At 38.3% G+C, this 22,870-nt stretch overlaps 1 protein-coding gene across 8 annotated transcripts in view, besides 2 other annotated features; it reads left to right on the top strand.

Moving 5' to 3' along the window:
• The window catches only part of FHIT (fragile histidine triad diadenosine triphosphatase), a 1,504,176-nt gene that overhangs the window by 97,496 nt on the left and 1,383,810 nt on the right, over nucleotides 1-22,870 (top strand). The window lies entirely within an intron of this gene.
• Nucleotides 11,767-12,290: an enhancer, noted in NCBI's record as "OCT4-NANOG-H3K27ac hESC enhancer chr3:61127340-61127863 (GRCh37/hg19 assembly coordinates)". NCBI's record gives its function as "activates a minimal SCP1, AML or CMV promoter by ChIP-STARR-seq in naive H9 embryonic stem cells {active_cell/tissue: H9 hESC(naive)}" and the evidence as "EXISTENCE:reporter gene assay evidence [ECO:0000049][PMID:30033119]".
• Nucleotides 12,291-12,813: an enhancer, noted in NCBI's record as "OCT4-NANOG-H3K27ac hESC enhancer chr3:61126817-61127339 (GRCh37/hg19 assembly coordinates)". NCBI's record gives its function as "activates a minimal SCP1, AML or CMV promoter by ChIP-STARR-seq in naive H9 embryonic stem cells {active_cell/tissue: H9 hESC(naive)}" and the evidence as "EXISTENCE:reporter gene assay evidence [ECO:0000049][PMID:30033119]".

Here is a 22,870-nt window from a genome sequence, read left to right as displayed (position 1 = left end):
TGTGTTTTTTCCCTTGTCCCCTAAGAAATAAAATTAAAAGGTGATATGTATGTGTTTACATATTTCATTTTTTACAAAATAATATCAAGACTTGCTAACAATAATTTAAGGCTGGGCCCCTCTTACTGTAAATTGTAAACATACCTCGAGGCCTAGGCTATGGACATTGGCTATAAATCACCATTTTCATAATAACAGCAACAACCTGGCCATGACTTTCAGAATGCTGTGAACATTGTCTTCTGTAAGCAAACTTCCACTTACAAGTTTTAGGCCTCTGATATTAGAAGGTCAGCATTCCTTACTCAGGTATATCTTTACCTGAGAAAGGATTTTTGATTTTACTTTCTCCAGTAACCTTGTCAATTTGAGCTCCATCTATATCACCAAAATGATCTGTCATGTCACTCAAAGACAAAAAGTGAATAAAGCCCAAGACATTAGATGTTTAGCAGTTTGAGGCCAAAGAAATCTGGCAATTTTGACTTTTTCCAACTGGGGGTTCACTATCATCAGTCATTTGTTTAGTGTCTACACACTCTTTTCTACCCTTTAAAAATTGTATTTCCTCTATTTAAAGAAGCATGGATTTTCCATATTTTAATGTTTCTGAAGCAATATCTTACAATTGATATGCTCACTTAGCATCTATTTCTTCATGTTATCAGCCAAGCTATCATTAAGCCAACTATTTTTCAATTTATGGCAACTTGGATTTCAGGAGATGTTATCTCTCAATTTCCTCTTCCTTTCTTCATCTCTGCTGCTATCACTTGAACTTGGACCACTATTGTCTTTTTTTTTTTTTTTTTTTGAGATGGAGTCTTGCTCTGGCACCCAGGCTGGAGTACAGTAGCGTGATCTTGGCTCACTGCAGCCTCCGCCTCCCAGGTTCAAGCAATTCACCTGCCTCAGCCTCCTGAGTAGTTGAGACTACAGGTGCGTGTCACCACGCCCGGCTGATTTTTTGTATTTTTAGTAGAGATGGGATTTCACCGTGTTAGCCAGGATGGTCTCGATCTCCTGATCTTGTGATCCTCCCATCTCAGCCTCCCAAAGTGCTGGGATTACAGGTGTGAGCCACCGCACCCAGCCCCACCATTGTCTTTGAATTAAACATTTGGAAAAGTTGGCTAACTCGTCTACCCACAGCCATCTTTCCTACCTCCAATCCATTTCTCATTAGATGCCATACTGATCTTATAAAACACAGCTATGATCTTCTCATTCCTCTGTTTGAAGTCCTTTCGTGGCTTTTCATTGCTTTTAAGACAAAGACCTGAATAATTACAGTGGTTTGTAGGACTTTGCCTGACCAAGCCCTTGCTTTCTCATCTCATCTCTAGCTCTACCTCTTTCTCCAACCTCCATGCTAATAGGTCAGAGCACCCCAACTTCAGTCATTCAGAAGCCATGTATTTACCATATTCATGTCCTATTTGTACCAACACTTACTATTAAAAAAAGCTTATTTTTGCTAATATTTAAGTTAATTGTACAAGGAAATTGTTTTGCCACCTTAAATGGAAACTACTGTTCTTCTAATATGTATTTCAAAACACTTGAATCTATTAAAATTAAAAAGTTAGCCTTTTTATCAGCAAAAGTTCAGCTGTGTGCTTCCAGGGGTTCACTTACCACTTTTTGGCAACCAGTTCTCTAGCTGAAGCTCTCTGCTCTGTTATCTCTGAGGATTCTTCTGCCTTCAAGGGTTTGGCCTCTTTTTCTATCTCCCTGATCTACTTTCCCTTCACTTAGCTAACTCTTACCCATTCGTTAAGTTTCAGCCTAAAGAGTCTCTGCCCCAAATTAGATTCCAGTCAACTGTTTAATCCTATCAGATTAACTGCCCTCTTTTGAACTTTATAGAAATTACCTACCCACCCATATACTTAAAAAAATGGTATGATGGTTAACTACAATATAAAGAAGAAAGAAAAGGGAAGTGGCTTACAATAAGCTAAGTATTCCAATGTAAAGGCTTGGGCACAACTCTACTTGAAGACATAATGAATTAATCAAATGCTTATATCTACTTGATATGAGTGAAATTGGATTTAAGAAAAGAATATCAGGCCGAGAGTGGTGGTTTATGCCTATAATCCCAGTACTTTGGGAGGCCTAGGTGGGCGGGTTTTATTTTCTCCTCACAGTTGAGCTCAGGAGCTCGAGACCAGCCTGGCCAACATGGTGAAAACCCGTCTCTACTGAAAATACAAAAATCAGCCAAGCTTGGCCGCATGTGCCTGTAATCCCAGCTATGGCTAAAGCAGGAGAATCACTTGAACCCAGGAGGGAGAGGTTGCAATGAGCCAAGATCACGTCACTGCACTCCAGCCTGGGTGGCAGAGTGAGACTCCATCTCAAAAAAAAAAAAAAAAGAAAAGAAAAGAATATCACAAGCCATTCTGTGAAATGAGTACAAGAAATGAAAGATGAGAGGTTTGAGGGATACTAGAATAAAAGCTAACCTTTGGATACATATTAATAGTAATATACATGATGAGAAAAAGAGGGAAATAACCTTAGTTGAAGTAGAGCTAACATGCTAAGATAAATAATGCAGTTTTGAGGTAGAGAACATAGGCAAGTATGCCATTCCTGGAAATGAGTGGGACTTACTTAAAAGGGTAGCTGCAGAGTCATTCCCTATATTATGAAAAGGGACTGAGTGGTGTTGAAGAATCACAGGAAGAATACCTCTCATCTTGAAATCATGTCTTATGTTGATGCATACATTTGGTCTCTAGTTCTTAAAAAGCACTTCGGTAGGCCACAGGGAATAGGGAATGGATTGGAAAAAGAAGCAGTAATATAAGAAGCCATAAAGAAGTTGTGTGGGAGACCTCTAGGGACAGTTTCACTGTAAGACTGAGAAACAAGAAGCAAATCCAAAGTAAGTAAATAATTTTAATCAGTAATTTTCACAGTGTAGATTTCTCATCATTGTGCTACAGATTTTTTTTAAAGGTATGTACTGTGGCAGTAAAATGAAATATAAAAAAAATGCTTTCCATGAATGCAATTTGGTGGTATCCTTGACTTTCATGTCCCATGGCCAATTTAATAATATTTGGTGCTAGGCCTATTTCTCTCTTACGTATTTGCATTTGACAGATAAGAATGCAAACTAATACAGTTGTGTTATATTGGTAGACTGGGTACCAAAAGCCCCATTGCTGTCGGTGGTGGGATTTTCTGAAATAGTGAACAACTGGTAAAGTGTTGAACAAAACAAAATACATTATTCCTTCAGTTTAAATGCTAGTTGCATTTCTGAAAAATTCAGTGAAAATTAAAATGTGCAAAAGATACTTTAAGCTATTATGTAAAATAGACAATAATATTTTTTTTCTTTACCTAAGTGAATGTCTGGTGGAACATTTGAAAGTTATGAGGGATACAGGATCATTTTTCATCATGTGGGCCTGTCCTACATAAGAACATTTGGTGGCCTTGTTGCCCCTCAGAAAATATGAGTTAAATGGCTGGGCATGGTGGCTCACACCTGTAATCCTAGCACTTTGGGAGGCTGAGGTGGGAGGATCACTTGAGCTCAAGAGGAGGTGGAGACCAGACCAGCCTGGGCAATATAGGGAGACTCCATCTCTTAAAAAAGAAGGAACATAGAGAGCTCCCCACCGCTCCTCACATTTCCAAAAAAAAATCTCTCTAGGGGACAATACAAACCCCATTGATCACTACCATGTAAAAGCCTCTCAGTGGGCTCTGTATCTTCCTTCACATTTAGCACACTTTTAGTAACTTGTTCTTTGGCTGTCTTCTCTGACAGTTTGAAGGTTCCATGAGTCCAAGGAAAGTTGGACTCATTTATCATTATATCTCTCTGCCTGGGACAGTGCCAAACATATGGAAGATTTTCAACAATTACTTGTTGAATGAAGAAAAGGACAGGGGCAGTGCCTTAGGCTCCATTTATAGGTACCTTGGTAAATTAACTGGAGAGGGTTGGAGGTGACACTTGACTAGTGTACCCATGCATCTGAGTTTGCTCAGGATAGCCCTAGTTTTTACCAGTTTTCTCTGCATCTTGTCCAGTTTAGCATTTTTTTATATATACATTTTTTTGAGATAGGGTCTCAGGCTGCAGTGCAGTGGCACAATCATGGCCCATTGCAGCCTCTAACTCCTGGGCTCAAGCAATCCTCCCCCATCAGCCTCCCGAGTAGCTGAGGCTACAGGTGCGCACCACCACATATGGCTAATATTTTTGTATTTTTTGTAGAGACTGGATCTCACTATGTTGCTGAGGCTGGTCTCAAACTCCTGGGCTCAAGCCATCCTCCCATCTGTGCCTCCCAAAATGATGGGATTACAGGTGTGAGTCATGGCACCTGGCCCAGTTAAGCATTTTTTAAAAATAAAAATAATTTTACTTTGGGAAATCATTTTAGAATAGGACTGTATTTCAACTGTCAACCAGTAAAATAAAACCAATTTTTCAGTCAACAGGTGGATATTTAAAAAATTAAATTATTTTTAATAATATAAATAAAACAATTTTTATTTATTAAACTTATTAATTTTTATTTATTACTTTTATTTAATTTTATTACCCTGCTTCAGTCTCAGAAGTGTCTCATTTTGGATAATAAATTATTTATAGTCACCCTAGGCATGATCCTTAGCAACATATCAGAAGGTTGTCCTTGTCATTGTACCCAAAGTAAACCCTTCTCTTCTTTTCCCCTGGCATGGGGTAGATGTCATGGAAATACCATCTATTACTCTGCCATCCACTGGTCCAATTTCAATGGTTTCTCACTTCTCTGAATGTTTTCTGTGACTGGTGATGACCTTTCAGCCCTGAAATATTTGCCTCTTAATTATTTGAGAGGTTTACTTTTAGTTTCATCAATTAGTTTTCTTTCTCTACTATACTTTCAGTTAAACGTAAGTTTTAATTGTTAAAACTAACAGATTGAGAGTGTTTCTATGGAAAACTTTATGCCTTTGAGAATCTTTCCATTGTGGCATGAAGATCCAGAAGAAGCAGTCCCCACTGGGGCATATAACTTCTTTCTCTTCTTTTGAACTCTTCATCTAGGAGTATGAGATTTTACAAATTTATGCTCTGAATTTTGTTCATTACATTTTCCTTAGATTGAAACCAATAAGTTATGAATTTTTAAATATACTGTTAAAATAAAATAACCATAAAAGGAAATATTAGACCTTGCCTTAAAGTTAAAAACTGTATGTCGTATATTTTCCCTTGTATTAATTCAAGAGAAATTATTGCATATGCTCATGAAAAAGACATATACAAGAATGTTCATGGAAGTTTTATTTATAATAGCCAAGCACTTGAGAAAATCCAAATGTCTATCCTTAGACATCATTGTAAACAAATTGTGACATAGTCATACAATGAGGTGGTACTCACCAACAAAAAGGAACAAACAACAAATATATACAATATGGATGCATCTTGAAAGCATTATGTTGCCAAAAGAAGCCACAAACAAAAGAATGCATACTGTATGCTTCCATTTGTGTAAAATTCAATAGCTGACAAAAGGAATCAATGATACTAGAAGCCAGAAAAATAGGGAGCTAGGAGACTATTGCTAGAAAGGATCAGGAGGTAATTTTCTGGAAATAACTGCATACTTTGTTTTAGGTGGAAGATTCTTGGGTTTATACATATGAAATGCCATGGAGCCATATACTTAAGATTTGTGTATTTTACTATATATAAGTTATCCCTCTAAATATACCATAGAGAGAAAATAATTCATATAGAATTTCTTTTTCATTAAAAGATGATGTGTGTTTGTTTCGAACATTAATAAAAATTAAAAGAAAATAAATCATCGATAGTCTCATCACATAAATAACTTTCTTCCAGTCTTTTGTCTGGGCATAGTTTTTTGTTTTTTTTTTTAAACTTTTCTCCCTTCTATCCTTCTTTCTATATGTATTTAACTGGACTTTTGAATCCTAGAATAATTCTTTCTGAAGTTAAAATAAGAAGTTCATTTTTGAAATTACATTTATGATGGATCGCCTTCACATTAGAACATTTATCATGAATATACTGGCCAAATGATAATGTCAATTGTAGCTAGAAAGAACTTGGAATTTGTTTGTAGTTTTTTCCAAGGGTGAAAAAGGAACTGGCTTTCCTGTAAATGAATAAGTTGCCATGATTCTCCCTAAATCTTTACTTCATTTATTTTTCTGCTCCCTGATCTCATATTGTATTTTCATACAGGGTTGCCACTGTAGGGGAATCATTTTAAACCCATGGATGTAACTATTATTTTTTTATATTTTCATACATTTATAAGTCTTCTATAAATCTTGATCGAATTTTTTTTGTTATCTTCGGGGAATAGCCATGAAGGTCTCAATACTGGGAAATTTGGGGATATCATGCAGCCTGACAATTCATCACACACTGTTCTTAAAATTCATATTGCAGCATATTAAAATTGGATCCCAAGATTCCTTGCAGAAGAACCTTGGCACTCTGACTCACCTTATAGTGAGCCAACATGACAGAAAAATACATCATTTTTTTCTACCGTCAAAGGAAACAAGTATGAAAATAATGGAAAAACGTGTAGTCTAAAACAAAGCAACATAATTTGCAGTGTGAGTTGCCTAATGTATTATATAGTTATTATCTCGCCTAAGCTCCCTAGGTAATATAACTGCTAATATTAAAAATCTGTTTTGTTTTGTCGCCTCAACAGAACGTTTTGCCTTGAGACTTAATTAATACATTTCTGTCTTAGGCATGTATTTTAGACACACTGGGTGTACCCTTAAATAACCTTCAGGAACAATACTCATTTCTGCACTGTTTTGAGAGGTAGAAAACAACAACAAAAAGAACTTGGTACTCTGTGTTCTCTCTGTAACCAGAAGAGTTTTGTTGGAAGCATCTTTATTAGAGGCAGCTGTCAGTATGGGATTTATTTCCACTGGGTGGAAACAAAAGGTGCTACAGAGGAATGTACATAAAGATATCACCCATGAGGCATTTGGATAAATAAAAGTGGGCAATATTAATGATGCTCATTAGCAGATGTCACTGTTGGGGATGAAGTAAATTCCACACCAAAGTGTTTCATATATTACACTTTTCAAAACTGTCAACTTTTTGACTTTGATGTATGTCCATGTGAATAGTTTTAATAAGTTCCTACAGTAGTTTCTTTGCATATACCCTGAGGAATTCTATGGAACTGCTGGCAGCAATATCACAAAGACATTTTTTGCCTAATGATTGGTGCTTCACTTGGAAATGTGAAGGCTCAGATCATTACATTCCTACTTATTCATGGTGCAAATATTTGTCTAAGAATTAGTTAAAAAATATTGTATGACCAAGCAGATTCTGTAGTTTAAAGCAATCTTCTATGGGCTGTTGCCTGTATAACAGAATTACGTATGCATAAAACTGCTTTTACTGTAGAAGCCAAAATGCAGAATAATAGCTTGTCAAACTGTCGTTTGCAAGTGAGATCATAGATTTTATAGTCCAAATTAGGTTGTGTTCTTTTCCTTTTTGTCAGGTCATATTCTAATAACCATATTGTGCACTAAACCCTGTGATTATCCCAACACTTGACAGATGGTAGGCTGTTAATTTGTATGTAAGAGACAGTGATTGCCAGAGCCCTAACAGTATTCAGCAAAATATGAAATGTCAAAATCCACTTTTGGTTCCATTTTGCTTGATTTCATTTTAGCAAGGTAATGCTAGGCAGAAGAGTTTCAGTAGCTCAGCATATGTTTCATTTTACTACTCTGTATGGTTTTACTAACCACTAGAAATAGAAAGGATTAAGAAAGAAGTAATTTGTTTTATGTCGTGCTTTCTCCTTTCCTGTGGAGAGTGATCATCAGCCTGAAGGGTTAATTGAAGGGACTGAATGAGAGCTTAGGGCAGACAGGATTTAATTGCTCAATATTGTGGATAATTGTGGTACAGTAGTAGCATACACTGATGTTTATAAGTATGATGGGGACAAAATAATTTAAAAGTTTAAGTTAAAAGTGCACTGGCAAATTCACTAAAAAACTATTGGAACTACTAAACGAGTTCAGCAATGTGGCAAGATACAAGATCAATATACAAAAATAAATCTTATTTCTATATACTAGCAATGAACAGTCTGGAAAAGAGATTAAGAAAATAATCTTATTTATAATAGCAGCCAAAAAATAAAATATCTAAGAATAAACTTAACAGAAGTATAAGATGTGAAAACTAGAAAGTAGTTGAAAGATATTAAAGAATAAATAAATGGAAAGATATGCCATGTTATTGGATCAGAAAACTTAACATTTTTAAGATTGCAATACTGGCCAAAATGATCTATGTATTTAATGGAATCCCTTTAAAAATCCCAGCTGTTTTTTTATTTTTTTCCCCAGAAAGTGACAAGCTGATCCTAAATTGCATGTGGAACTGCAAATATCCAGAATAGCCAAAACAATCTTGAAAAAGAAGAAAGAAGTTTGAAGACTCACACTTACTAGTTTCAAAACTTACTACAAAGCTATAGCAATTAAGGCTGTGTGGTACTAACAAAAAAGGTAGATCAATAGAATAGACATAAACCCTCGCATTTATGGTCAATTGATTTTTAACTAAAGAACCAAGACAATTCAATAGGAGAAATATTAGTCTTTTCAATAAATGTTGTTAGGACAACTGGGGATGTCTACATGCAAAGAATGAATTAGGACTTGTACCTCACACCATACACAACAATTAGCTCAATATGGATCATAGACCTAAATTTAAAAGGTAACAGTATAAAATCCCTTGGCAAAACCATATGAATTAATCTTTGTCATCTTGAGTTAGGTTTCTTAGATACAATACCAAAAGCACAGGTGACAAAATTTAAAAAATAGATAATTTAGACTTTGTTAAAACTTAAAACTTTTGTGTGTCAAATGACACCATCACAAAAGTAAAAAGATATACCCAAAGATGGGAGAAAATTTTGCATCTGTTGATGGACTAGTATCTAGACTATATTAAGAACTTCTGCAACTCAACTGTAAAACAACAAATAACACAATTTAAAAATGTGCAAAGTATCTGAATAGGCATTTTCCCAAAGAAGATATACAAATGGTTAATAGCACACGAAGAGATGCTTAGTATCACTCATTACTAGGGAAGTCAAATTAGATCAAACCAAAACCACAGTGAGATACCACTTCATGCACACTAGAATGGCTAAAATAGAAAAGACAATAACAAGCGTTGGTGAGGATAAGGAGAAATTAAAACCCTCATATGTTTTGGTGGGATTGTAGGATGGTGCAACCACTTGGGGAAAAAGTTTGACAGTTCTTCAAAATGTTAAATATAGAGTTACCATATAACCCAGCAATTCTATACCTTCCTAGGTATGTACCCAAGAGAATTAAAAACATATCCACACAAAAACTTGTACATGAATGTTCATAGTAGCATTATTCATAATTGCCAAAAAGTGGAAACAGTTCAAATATCTATCTACAATGAATGGATAAACAAAAATGGCATATTCCTATAATGGAATGTTACTTGGCCATAATTAGTAATGAAGTGCTGAAACATGCTACAATGTGAATGAACCTTGAAAACATTATGTTAAGTGAAAGAAGCTAGTCGCAAAAGGACACATACTGTATGATTCCATTTATGTGACATTTCCAACAGAGACAAATCCATATGCATAGTAGATTAGTGGATTAATAGGGCTGCAGGGGTAGCGGGGAAATTGGAGTGACTGCTAATGCACATGGGCTTTCTTTTTGGGATGAGGAAATGTTATAAAATTGATTGTGTTCTTGGTTGCACAACTCTGAATATACTAAAAATGAATGAATCGTACAGTTTAAATGGGTGAATTTTATGGTTTGTAAATGTATCTAAATAAAGCTATAAAAAAGCACATTGGCAATAGAATAGTAAAGGTAATTCATTTATTATGTTAGCATGACAATAATTGCCTGGACTGTCAATATTACACTACTAGAGACAAAAGAATGCAATTTTTCACTTTAAAACTCCAAAAACAGATCTGCAGTTTTGTTTGTTTGTTTGTTTGTTTTAGACAGAGTCTTGCTCTGTCACCCAATCTGGAGTGTAGTGGCACAATCTCAGCACACTGCAACCTCTGCCTCCTGGGTTCAAGCAATTCTCCTGTCTCAGTCTCCCGAGTAGTTGGGACTACAGGCGCCTGCCACCATGCCCGGCTAATTTTTGTATTTTTAGTAGAGATGGGGTTTCACCTTATTGGTGAGGCTGGTCTTGAACTCCTGACCTCAGGTGATCCACCCGCCTCGGCCTCCCAGAGCGTTGGGATTACAGGCGTGAGCCACTGTGCCCAGCCAGAAAATTTTTTTTAGGTATTAATTTTCTTGACACATCTGAATGCTAAATAACGACAAGACCAAGGCTAGTCAAAGGCTGGTCAAAAGCTTTCCTCTGCAGCACCATAACTGTTTAGAAATGCCAAATGACCAGTGGTTTTCCAATAGTGTAAGCAACTATCTCTCAAAAACAATCACGTAACACAAAACACATAATATGCATGCACTCTAAATATTATATGCTATGTATATTATAATGTATTATACATACATATAAACATACACTATACATAAACATTAGAAACTTATACCAAGTTGTACTCATGACTGTTTTTTTCTTTCCCAGTAATCCTTCCTAAGGATTATGTCACCATCTTATTTTTCCCTGTTAATTGGTTGGATGATTTCTGTTGTAAAACATTTCTTTTAAATAAAATGAAATGGTGATATCATGTATTATTGTAATTTAAAAAGCAGTTGGTATCTTTTCCCTCAAACTTGTATCTTCACAATTTGTAAGGCTATTATTAATTTTGTCATATTGTGGTAAGGGAAGGGTAACATTCCATGCAGGTAAGAAACAAATCTGAAATTTACTAAAGATAAAAAAAAATTCCCTGGTAAAGAAACACAATTTTAAAATACACTGTAAGGTACATATTAACGATCTTCACTAAGATAGTGAAAAAAAGCTTTAAGTCTACCTTTTTAAAGGATTTTGTAGGTTAATATTTTCCCTTTCTTTCTTTCTATGTGTCAGACTTCTAGCTTTTCCCCTAAAATATGTTCATTACAGGCTAACAGCCTAATTTTAAATATTAACAGATACTCTTGATATGTTTGAATTGCCCCTTTTGATAATGGCATGGCTTAAGAGGTCCTAATGAAAAATGTTAATGTACAGATAATTTGTGGAATAATTTTTTATTAAATATTATAACAATTATTTTTTCTTTTTCTATGTCATTTTTGTAATGATCACTTTTAATGGTTGCATGGTTTTCCATCCTATTGTTATGCCATGAGGTAGCGAAGCACACTAAATTTTAGACATGAGCTGGAGCACTTCCAGCCCACTCATTTAAAAGAGGAGGTAAGGTGATCACAGCAGGTTAGCAGTCTAAAGTAGAACCCTGGTATCTTTTTCCCACCTCAGTGATTAGAGTCACATTCAAATACATCATTGACTTGATTTATTTTGCATGCAGTTCTCAGCAGCACTTCTGTAGTACAAAATGATGCATAATCACATTGTTCTTAGATATTGGGAGAAAAAAGATAAAAGATGGAATTTAATACCAAAGCTTACTTTTGACTCAGCAGACTAAAGTTTTAGTCCCTGGGAGAAAAGGGAATCAGAGGAGAGAGCAACCTGATATTTTCTATACTTAAGAGTGAAACCAAAATTGGAAAAAAGATATAATCAGAACCCACCACCATCCTATTTCAGCACAGCATGCAATTCTCAGATAAAAAAAAAATTTTTTTTAAGAGAAAGCATTTTAAGATAATATCTCCATGAGCCATTTCTGTAAAAAGCAAGTGAAGCTTTGACTCCCCCTGAGAAATTGCTTTGCAATTGTGAAGGTGCAGAGCCATGGCTCTGGGAGGCAGATTGGTCCTGTAGGCTTGTGTGAATGAGATGATCTGCATGAAACTTGAGTAGTAAATGAGAACCCATTGTAGGGCCTGGGTGAACTGCAGTCATCCCGGTGATGCAGATTTCCCAAAGAAAGAAGCCCTGAGTAACCAAGTATTCTATTGCTGGGAACTGGTACGAACTTGGTAACTGATTTTGAGAAATGTCATTGCCATTACAATCCTGAGAAAGCTGGAGCCTCCTCTGGGTCAGCCAATTGAAGAAGCTATAAATGACCTCCGTTTTTCACTGAATCAGGGAAACACAAAGCAGAGAACATTGGTTCTTGATTTCTTTCTTTCTCTCCTTCCTCAACCCAACCCACTCAGGCTAGAAAAAAGAAGTGGAAGCTACATCGTAAGAGATAGTTTCTGTGTCCTGTTTCTGAGACACATTCTCATTGCTTGGGTGGAGTGGCTGGGAAGGATGTTTAGTATTGACTTTCAAATGAACGGATCAAATATCTCTCTGGGCTACAGAATTTCTTTATCTGATATTGCCACAACAGGCAGCTCAGAGGTATTTGTCTGTATCCCTCTGGGCCTTTCTTATTCTGACTGTTGAATGAAAGGAGCGGATGACTAAGACTTCTCTTTGAAAAGAAGTCCATTATCAGTGTCTTTGAAGCTCCGAAGACTGAGTACATTCTACTTGGATAAAGCACCACAATAGGTGGAAGGAAGCAAAGACAGCCTTATAAATTTCCCTGTGAGCAAGCAGACCTATTGCTGTCTTTATTAAAAAGATGCCACCAAGCAGGTGGTCCTGTTCTGAGTGATACCCCCGAGAGTCGGCTTGAAAGAAATCACCGGAAACTTCACATCTCCCTAAAACAGCTTAGGCTGTCTTGAGAAATGTGAAAGGTGATCAGATGACTGTGCCAAGTGTTCTGGGTGTGTTGAACATATGTATCCTCAAATTGTAAAACTTGAAACTTTGGCAATTATGTTAATAAAGGTAAGCAAACTAGTTGACATCAACACATGCATTCTGTTTCTTCTTTGTACATCCGTGTACCTCCCAGCGAGGACTGTGAACCAGATTCCGTATGTATTCAAGACTTTCATTAGATAAGAATGGCATATACTTATCATTAGAGCATACTAATTAAAGCAGAAAGTGACATTTCAAAGTAATGATGCTCCCTAGTGTCTCAATGTAAAATACTCCCTAGTCTATTTTTAATGAACTGGTATGCTATGTATGTTTAAAATATTATTTTGTTATTTTGTTTTCATTATTTCAGTGGTGGCTATGACCAGGAAGGTAGGACGTTCTTCTAGATATAAGGAAAGAGGCCAGTGAAACCTACCAAGAGCTTCGGGCTTTGATTGTAGTCATATTCAGGGTGTATCCAGGCATTCTTGCATTCATTTGGTGCTTTGACTGTATGCTTGCTACTTGATACTGTCTGTGCTAGGTTAATAGGACCCAGATAGTTCCTGCCCTCAAGGAGATTACCCACGCCCTTTGATTATGATCAAAGCAAAGCCGTTCTTTATATTTCCTCTTTTGCATACTCTCTAATAGCAAAAAGGATGATATGTTCAGTGCTGGTTATATATACACCCTTGCCAGTTACTACAAACTCTTAGGTATTCTTAGTGGATAAGGATAGCTAAAGAGTCTCCTTACTTATTCTATATTTTTTTCCTTATATTTGTTACTGAATGCATTTTCCTCATAGTAAAAGCAGACATCATCGTCATCATCATATTCATTGTTTATTAAGTATAGAAATCCAATAAGATAGGTATCACTATTATTTAAATGTTTTATGGAAGACTGAATAAGTTCAGAGTGTTTAGGCAACTTGCCCAAAGCTACAGAGCTGGTAAATGACACAGTCAGGACTTCTTGACCTAGGGCTGGCTGCCCCCAAAGTGCTCTTGACCTTTATGCTTTAATGCCTCTCATTGTTTCTTATTTTTTTTTTTTTTTTGCTTTCTCTTGCATGGACAGCTGTTAAAAGTCGTTATCCTCATAGATGATGATGAGTTAAATACTTAGGTTGTCTTTGATCTGTGAGTGAACGTTGCCAGTTTTTGAATCTTTTTTTCTGATGAATTTTCTAAAAGTGAATTTCAGGCTTTCAAATGACTGTGCTCAGTGATGGTGACTGATTTTAGACCGCTCTTGCTATTCAAATTCACTTAAAGTACCAGCATTCCTTAAAGTGATGTGTACCGCAAACCCTACTTGTAAGATTATAGTACCACATATACATGAGCCAAGATTCACCATTTGAAAATGAGATTGGTCTTCATGCTACAGCAAAATTTATTGAAGCGTCTATTACATGCATACTCTGCTATTCAAATTCATAGAGGAAATTCTATTTATTTATTTATTTTCCAGCCTACTTCTACAAAGGATTTGAGGCAAGCAAAAAACTACAATAAGTGTAGTTTACTTATCACCGAGAGCTAAAAATTCAAAGGCAGACTATTTTTGTGAAAGAGAATGATGTGAGATCTTGATACTGGTCCTGGAATTGATGTCCCATCTCTAAAAACAAGGTCCCACTTCCTAATTCCATCACATTGGGGGTTAGGATTTCTGCATATGAATTTTGAGGGGACACAGACATTCAGTTCATAGCAAAGATGTACTGGTCTACAATTCTTGTTTTTTGTTAAAGAGATTATACTGCAATAAAAAATAAGTTTGATCTTTAGGAGGCCGAGGCGGGCAGATCACGAGGTCAGGAGATGGAGACCATCCTGGCTAACACAGTGAAATCCCGTCTCTACTAAAAATACAAAAAATTAGCCAGGCATGGTGGCACATGCCTATAGTCCCAGCTACTCAGGAGGCTGAGGCAGGAGAATGGCGTGAACCCAGGAGGCGGAGGTTGCAGTGAGCCGAGATCGCACCACTGCACTCCAGCCTTGGTGACAGAGTGAGACTCTGTCTCAAAAAAAAAAAAAAAAAGTTTGATATAGAGTTGCATACGGGGCTTTATTTATGGGCTAGTAAGGGCCCACAGCTGTGGTTCTTCTTTATTTTTTTATTATTTAAAGATGCAGGACCTTCAGCTGATTTCATTTGGTTGGAAATTCTAGAGCAGCAGCATAACATTTTGAAGTCAAATGGTTAATTTTCTTTGGAGGCCTTTCCTCCTTTGGTTATTGGATGCTGTGTCTATGTTCTTTACACTCTGGCAGTGAGGAGGAAGCCCTTGTGTGACAATGGATTTAGTGGGGTATAAATCTACCTAACTAGCAGTTGGATGGGATCTGATGAGGGTTGGCCCCAGAGCCAAGCCACATTAGCCGAGTTAGAAGGATGTGCTGATTTCAACTTCAAGCCACGGGGCCCAGCAGAGAACTGCTGGGAAGCAATAGCATGGCCTGTTGTGCCACCGTCATTTTTGTCAGCGCCACCATCATCACCATTAAGCCTTTATTAAGTGCCAGTGTGTGGAGCTCCCTTAGGTGTCATTGCAGTCTGACAGGCAGCTGTGTGTTTTAAATACGAGCCTTGCTCAGGGCCATGAGGTGAAAAGGCCCAGCTGTAATCCTAGGCAGGCCCACAAGCATGGCTGCATGGTTAGTTAGTGGCTGTAGCAGGTTTTTGTTTCTGGTGTCTGCTCAGCCCATGGCCCCTTTCTCTAAGAACTGTCACTTTATCTTCAAGGATGGGCCCTGGTGATCAGGTTTTTAACTTGGCTCCCAGGCTGTGGCTCAGTAGATCAAAGATCCACAGCTGACTCAAGCTGGACCAGCCAGGTTGTCTTTCTCAGAAGTGTGGTCTTGGACTAAGACATATTTGTAGATAGACTAGGTAGATGTGTAAACTTGGGAGCAGTGGGAAGCCATGTCTTAGATTAATTCAATAATCCTTGTAATACTCCTATGAGGTGGGACCTCTTCTTATTCCCATTTTGTAGAAGAGGAAACTGAGTCACAGAGCGGTTAAGTAATTTATCCAAGGTCATATAGTTGGTTAATGGCAGAGCCAGGCATGAACACAGGTAGTATGAGCTCATACTTGTAGCCACTGTATAACTGTCTTTCGGAGCAAGAGAGAGGGAGAAAGAAAGAGAGAGGAATACAACAGGCCTCTGGAGATATGCAGATTAAAAGACTGTGTGAGGCTGCAGGGAGAGAGGTGGGTATGGGGAGAGAGTAAGACTGATTGACTAAGAGAGTAGCTGCCTTGATTCTGTAGGCTTTCTAGCTCCAGGATCCAGACCTCAGTGTCTGCACTTTCTAACCTTGGGCTCTGAGAAGTATCTCTATGTCCTTATAAATAAATTTCCCTTTTGTGCTCAAAGCAGTTTCAATGGATGTCTGTTACTTGCAACCAAAAGAGTCTTGACTAAGTGACCACACTGTCACAGTTTGGTAAAAAAGACAGTGGGTCATCCACTGGCCTTTGTAGCCCCAGGTATCTTTACATTATCTGTAGGTAGCATCCAGGCTAGTAGAGGAGAAAGGCAAGTACACCAGTGATTGCAGCATAGTGAGACAGGGCTCTGAAAGAGGTAAGCGCATAAGTTGCTATAGAAACTTAGAGACGTGGCCAAAAATTGAGACTGGGATAGGGTGTGGGGAATCAGGTCAGCTTCTCAGAGGGGAAATATTTGAGTTGTGTTTTGAAGAATGGGTAGGATTTAGCCATATGAAGAAGGGACGGAAACAAGGGCATTACAAATAGTGAGAAGAGTGTGTACCAAAAAAAAAAAAAAAAAAAAAAAGAGTGAAACCTATGATACGTTTTAGAAAAGGCAAACTATTCAGTGTGATGGGGAAGAAGGAAGGAGCAGGGATATGATATAAAACTGGAGTTCTTGGGGACTGTGCCACAAAGAGTCTGCAGTGCTAAGCAATGGAGTTTGAACCTTTGCCTGTAAGCTATCAGTTCATTGAGTATCCAGTTCCTTCCCTCCCTCCAACATGGAAGCATCTCTAGATTCTGAAATTACAAAGATTATATTCTGACAACATTAAATGCAGTTTTAGAAACAACAACAATACATGCAGAATCCTAACACCTGACACCAGTGTTTTCATTTTTGCCACCTTATCTTCTAGTTGTCCTCAAACACACCTGTTTTTGCACATGGTTGCAATCCATTGACATATCATTTTCACTTTCCAGTAGATTAAAAAGGTTTTCCATGTTTCTATGTTGTCCTCTCCTAATTATTATAACAGCATGATAGTCCTTCATTCGACAGAAGGTTTTCCTGAGTACCAACACTGCTCCAGGCAATGTGTTAGGCTCCGGTGAAGCAAAAGTGAATGACTTGGACACTCCTGCCTTTGAGGAACTCAGGATCTGGTATCCCAGTCTCTGCTGAAGCACTTAGCCGTACGTATTTTAAGCATGTGGTTTTAATATTGTCATTTTATTTAAAAAGATATTCAGTTCTTTGAGGGTCAATTTCAAATCCTTTTCTTGTATAGTCACTGTCCTCCTACCTCCAACCCCCATTGTAAGTACTCTGTGACTAAAACATAGCCACATTTTCCTCTGATTCTGTGTTCATGCACTACTTACCTAGTTTTTTGCATATCTTATGCTTCAAGCACCCCGAAAGCTGTTTGATGACTAACCATAAACAGGTTCCAAATCAAGTTTTTGAGCCAAGTTAATTTGATTATGAAACATTATCTTGGTTGTGGCAAATGCCCAGTGGTCATTATTTTAATGATACAAGCCTCTACAGCCTAAACTAATTACAAACCAGCTTTATTCTGGGAGTGGCGGGTGGGTCGGGTGAGGGGGGTGGGGGCGTGGTGACGGTGGTGGTGGTGGCATTGCCTAACCAGCCTCCCTGAGGCTAATCCAAGTGTCTGGGGATATGGGATATGATCACTCTCTGCTTTTCCTTCACCTGGTCCTCCGTGGATGTTGTCTACCTCATTCCCTCTCCCTCCTTGTTCTTGTGTTAAAGAAAATAGCGATGGTTGGCCAAAATTCTCCTTAAATTAAATTTTGCCTCCTACCTCCAGCATGATCATGAGCCTCCAAATTAAAGATGCAGACAAGTTTTCAATCAGATTTGCCTTTTGTTCTGTATTTAGATGCTTTTAGTTTTTCCCTTTATGATGCTTTTTTTGACTTCAACTAGCTCTGTGCTTTTGGTGGTATTTTGTAGCTGGTTTTTGCTCAGTTTTCTATATCTAAACATCTTTATTTTCTGTATTTCTAGTCCACGTATTTGATGAAAACACATTGATCAATTGGTATAAATTTTTTAAAATTTAAATAAATGTATTCATTAAAGAGTCTAGAAGTGCTTCATTATCCATGTAATGAAGAAATAGACAGGGAAGATAAATAAACTAAATTCTCTAGTAAAACCAGAAATTCCTCATATCTGATTTTACTGTGTGTATGTGTGTGTGTGTGTATGTGTGTGTGTGTGTGTTCGAACACAAGGATGCAAGTGTGGGTTATTGACATACACTTAAAATGAAATAGGTTGTTACCTCATAGATCTTAAAAGCTTTAAAAACTCTCTAAGCCTCAGTTCCTTCCTTTATAAAATGGGAACAACAATACTAATGAGTATATACAGTTGCAGGGATGATTTATTTGATGATGACTATAAAGTGCCTGGCACATAGTAAGTGCTCAATAAATATCAGTGGTTAATATGCCCTTGACCTAGAGGAGTACAACGCCTTCTCTATGATCTTAACTTTGAGCTATTAGTAAGTCCCTAAGTTCATATTTTTATGCAGAGGCCAAAAATCATTGAAAGAAAGCTTAGACCTTAGAAAACTTCCCAAGCCACTTTCTCTTAGCATTCTTTTTTTTTCTCCTTAACTAGCCTGGGCTGAATGATTAGCCATTTCCACCTAGTTCTCACCAACACTACCTTTGTGGCAGATGCCCCTGTGGCCATTTTCACAGTCCCTCTGTGAAATTATCTCTGATTTCAGCAACAACTGTGGTGACCAGTTTTGTCCAAGTCAGCTTCCCACCTCTAGCCCCTACTTTTCTGCTTTTCTGCTTTCTTCCCCAAGGGCATCTCTTATGCTGGGAGTCTGCATGGCCTGGGCTGAAGAGGAGCCTGGACGTCTGTGGGAATAAATGCCCTCAGAGGCTACTCTCAGCCACTGGGCATTTGAACATGTGAATAAGTGCTCCGGCCTTTGCGATTCAGGTGAACAGTTCTGGAGGCAAGCTGTGTACTTCTCTGGAGGTTCTGGCCAAACCAGCCTCTTGCTGGTTTGGCAAGTGGTAAACTTGATAATGTACCCTTAGTTGGCTTTTGCTCTTCCCTTTTTACACCCTATTTCCTCATCTCTGCTTCCTGGAGTCATCTCTCACATAAACTCCTGCACCTAAGTCCTTGTCTCAGGTTTTGCCTTCAGGGCAACCCAACTCATGACAACCCTAAAATTTTCTGTCTTCTTGATACTTCTAGGACTCTGCCCATATAATCTTTAGCCCCAGATCATTTCTCCTTCCTTTGAAGAGATGTCTCATAGCTTTTTGAAGTCAGACTCTTTTTCTTTGATCTTGATCCTATCTGCTCTTAAATCCTGTGGGCCCACAGACCATTATATCCTGTTTACTGCTATACTTCCAATATAGAATGCTTGGACCATAGTAGAAGCTCAACAAATACTTATTGAATGAATAATTATTTTCTTGCATGTTTTTTAGTTTCCTTCTGTGCACACCTGCTGTTTTCATCACTGTTTTCAGCTTTTCTTTGGGAGTTTGGGATCTCTTGCTTTAGAAATAGACACTGCCTGAATCCCAGTGCCCACCACTTTCTGAGGCTTATGAGCCAACCCCCTACCCTTGGTAATATTGGGCCCCACTAAGCACTTTCTCTTTCTTGAGCTCTACCTCCCTTGACCTCTTTGTGTGTGTGTGTGTGTGTGTGTGTGTGTGTATGTGTGTGTGTGAGACAGAGTCTCACTCTGTCGCCCAGGCTGGAGTGCAGTGGCGCGATCTCAGCTCACTGCAACCTCCGCCTCCCGAGTTCAAAGCAATTCTCCTGCCTCAGCCTCCTGAGTAGCTGGGATTACAGGTGCCTGCCACCACGCCTGGCTAAATTTTTGTACTTTTAGTAGAGATGGGGTTTCACCGTGTTAGCTAGGCTGGTCTTGAACTCCTGACCTCAGTTAATCCACCTATCTCGGCCTCCCAAAGTGCTGGCATTATTACAGGCATGAGCCACTGTGCCTGGCTCCTTGACCTCTTAAAATACAACCCTCTCATGGTTGTTCTCCTGGCTCTCAGACTTTCTTTCCCAGTATTTTTGCTGTATTATTTAGTTTGCTTGGATTCTACCTCTGGCTTTCTTCAGGGCTCCATCTTTGAGCCTCTTTTCTTCTGGAGTCATATACTTAACCCGAGTAAAGCAGTGACTCTCCTCTCTTCCACTACATAGATGATTCCTAAATCTATAATCTCTGGATTGACTGCTGAGTTTCAAGCTATTTGAAATCTCCATCTGGAATTCTTGAAGATTTTTCCAATTTACCTTGTTTATTCTGGAATTCATTTTCTTCTCCCTATTTTCCCCTTTTCCTCTTTTTCTATGTTCTGTCTTAGTTAATGGGATCACCAGCTACCTGGCATTGCAGTATAGAAGTCTTTATGTGATCCTTAAGTGCCTTCCCTTATTGCTTCCAAAATATAGTTTTTGAGTTCCTACTAAAAGCTAGATACTAGGAATACAGGAACCACAAAACAGACATGGTTGTACCCTCAAGAGGTTCACAATCTGGTAGCAGATACAGAGATTAATTTTATTTATTACAGAAATATAGCATTATAAACTGAGGTCAATGCTGTGGAGGAAAAGTCCAATGTGCTTTGTGAGCATGTCCAGAAGGACCTAATTTATTCTTGGGGTTTGAGACGTCTTCCTTTAGAAAGTGGCATTTGATCTGAGATGTAAAGGATGAATATGAATGAATTAGGAGACAGGAACTCTTTCCTCTTCATCACTATGCACTATAGTCGCCAACTACCATTGATTTTTGCCTGTGAAATGCCTGTTTTCTATATTCTGTTCTCATCCTGGGCCACTGCAATTTCTGCTTCTACTCCCTACACCCCATTTCTATCCATTAGTTTTCAATTTCTGCCAGAGTTCTTTCACTGAACACAAATCTACCACATTTTTTTTTCTTTTACTTCTGGCTTAAAACCATCGATAGCTCCCTTGTGCTTCCAGAGTAAGATCTTAACGTTCTGGAATGGCTTCAAAGACTTTTCAAATTTTGGCTCTGACATTTATCAGTAGCCTCATCTTCTGCACTCTTAACCATGTTGCCTGTGCTGTGGTCACTGTGGACTCTTTACAGTTTGCTCAAGTCACTGTGCCCTTCATTCAACACCCTTGGGTTTCTCTATCCTTCTTTTGCACTTGTCAGCTCCTCCTAATCCTAAGAGGCCCTATGTAAATGTCACATTTTCCATAAGGCATTCCCTCACTCCTTATCGGCATCCCCATGTTTGCATTTGTATGTTTCTCTCATAGAGCTCCCATCCATTTGCCTTATATTAACTTAGTTGTCTGTCTAGGACATGTGTTTATCTGGCACCAAGATTATGTTGTGCTCATCTCTTCCTTCCCAGGGCTTGAAATACAGCAGGTGTTCAGTAAATATTTGTAATTGAATTGTCTATGGATGAATAAGGTAAGGGAGACAAGAAATGGAAACTGGGGAACTGAAACAGAACAGCCAGACCTTTTCTGAGAACTGGTGATCTCATGTAGGGCTCAACTAAGACATGTGGGTGGCCCATGCAGACTAATTCAGTATTCCTTCAGCAATCAAGTGAAGTAACAGATTTGAGTAGTGCTGCTTGTGGAGGAAGATGACAACAGATTACAGTGTCCTGGCCTCCATACTCAGCTTAGCAAAATGAAAGCCCTTTGATTGTTGGAACCACCCTACATGAAAGCATTATATTGGCCTTGTTTTTAGTTTTTTCAAAGCATATCATCCCTATTCTACCTCAATTGTTTTATCGAAGTATTTCTTACAATGAAACCCAGTTCCCTTCTTGAAGAAAGTTCTGATAAATGCTGTTTTCTTCATTGTGTTAGTTTTCTGGGGCTATTTTAGTACCCTCTTAGATTGGTACCCTGGGCATCTGTTGGCCAGTCTTCCTGTTAATCCCGTTCTGACACCAAGGAAGGAAGACTGGGATGTGTAAAGCTCTTATCCAGTATTGCACCACTAACCTTTAAAGAATTCCTTTTCAGTCCTGCCTGGCTTATACCCAATAAACAACGAAACCTTTTTTGAGTTTCAGAATTGTCAGGATGTTGCTGTGAGGTGCACAGCAGACTGGGCTCATGTTCTGGTCTGTGCTCTTACAAATGACAGGCAAATGGCAGTGGCCTGGGGCCAAGAGTGGGCCACTACTCTCCAAGCTTGACAAGACTGCTATGTACCTGGGCCACTTTGCATGTCCAGTGCCCATCCACGCAGTCCTCTCCTGACCAAGGCTGCGAAGAATGTTTAATGATACAAGAGTGGTGGAAGTATGGGGAGACTTTCGGCCCAGACAGTCCACTTATGGCCTTCACTTGAGTGTGCTGAGGAAGGAGAATATTTTGATAACAACCAAAGATGGATGCTAGCCCATCCACCTTTTTGCCAATTTGACTTTGTTCCTTGGGATGGCAACTTACTGATGCTGATGTCCACTAAAAATGCAGCAGAAAATTAGTAGTTGCTAAGAGATAGGAAGGTAGAGTAGGAGAAAGATGAGTTTTGCTTCTAGAGTACTGAGTACTCACTCTGTGCAAAGCACTGTGTAGATGCTGGAGGAACAAAGGGGAATATGATATGGTATTTATTGTGGAGGAAGTATTATTTTTACCTGTTGAGTTGTTTAAATCCTTTTTTACTTCTAAGGGATAGTAGAGGTAACAATTTGGGA

This window comes from Homo sapiens, chromosome 3 (genome assembly GCF_000001405.40).
Source record: "Homo sapiens chromosome 3, GRCh38.p14 Primary Assembly".
In the NCBI taxonomy this organism is placed as follows: domain Eukaryota; kingdom Metazoa; phylum Chordata; class Mammalia; order Primates; family Hominidae; genus Homo; species Homo sapiens.
Note: the sequence above shows the minus strand (reverse complement) of the source record. Positions and strands in the feature narration are given on the sequence as shown.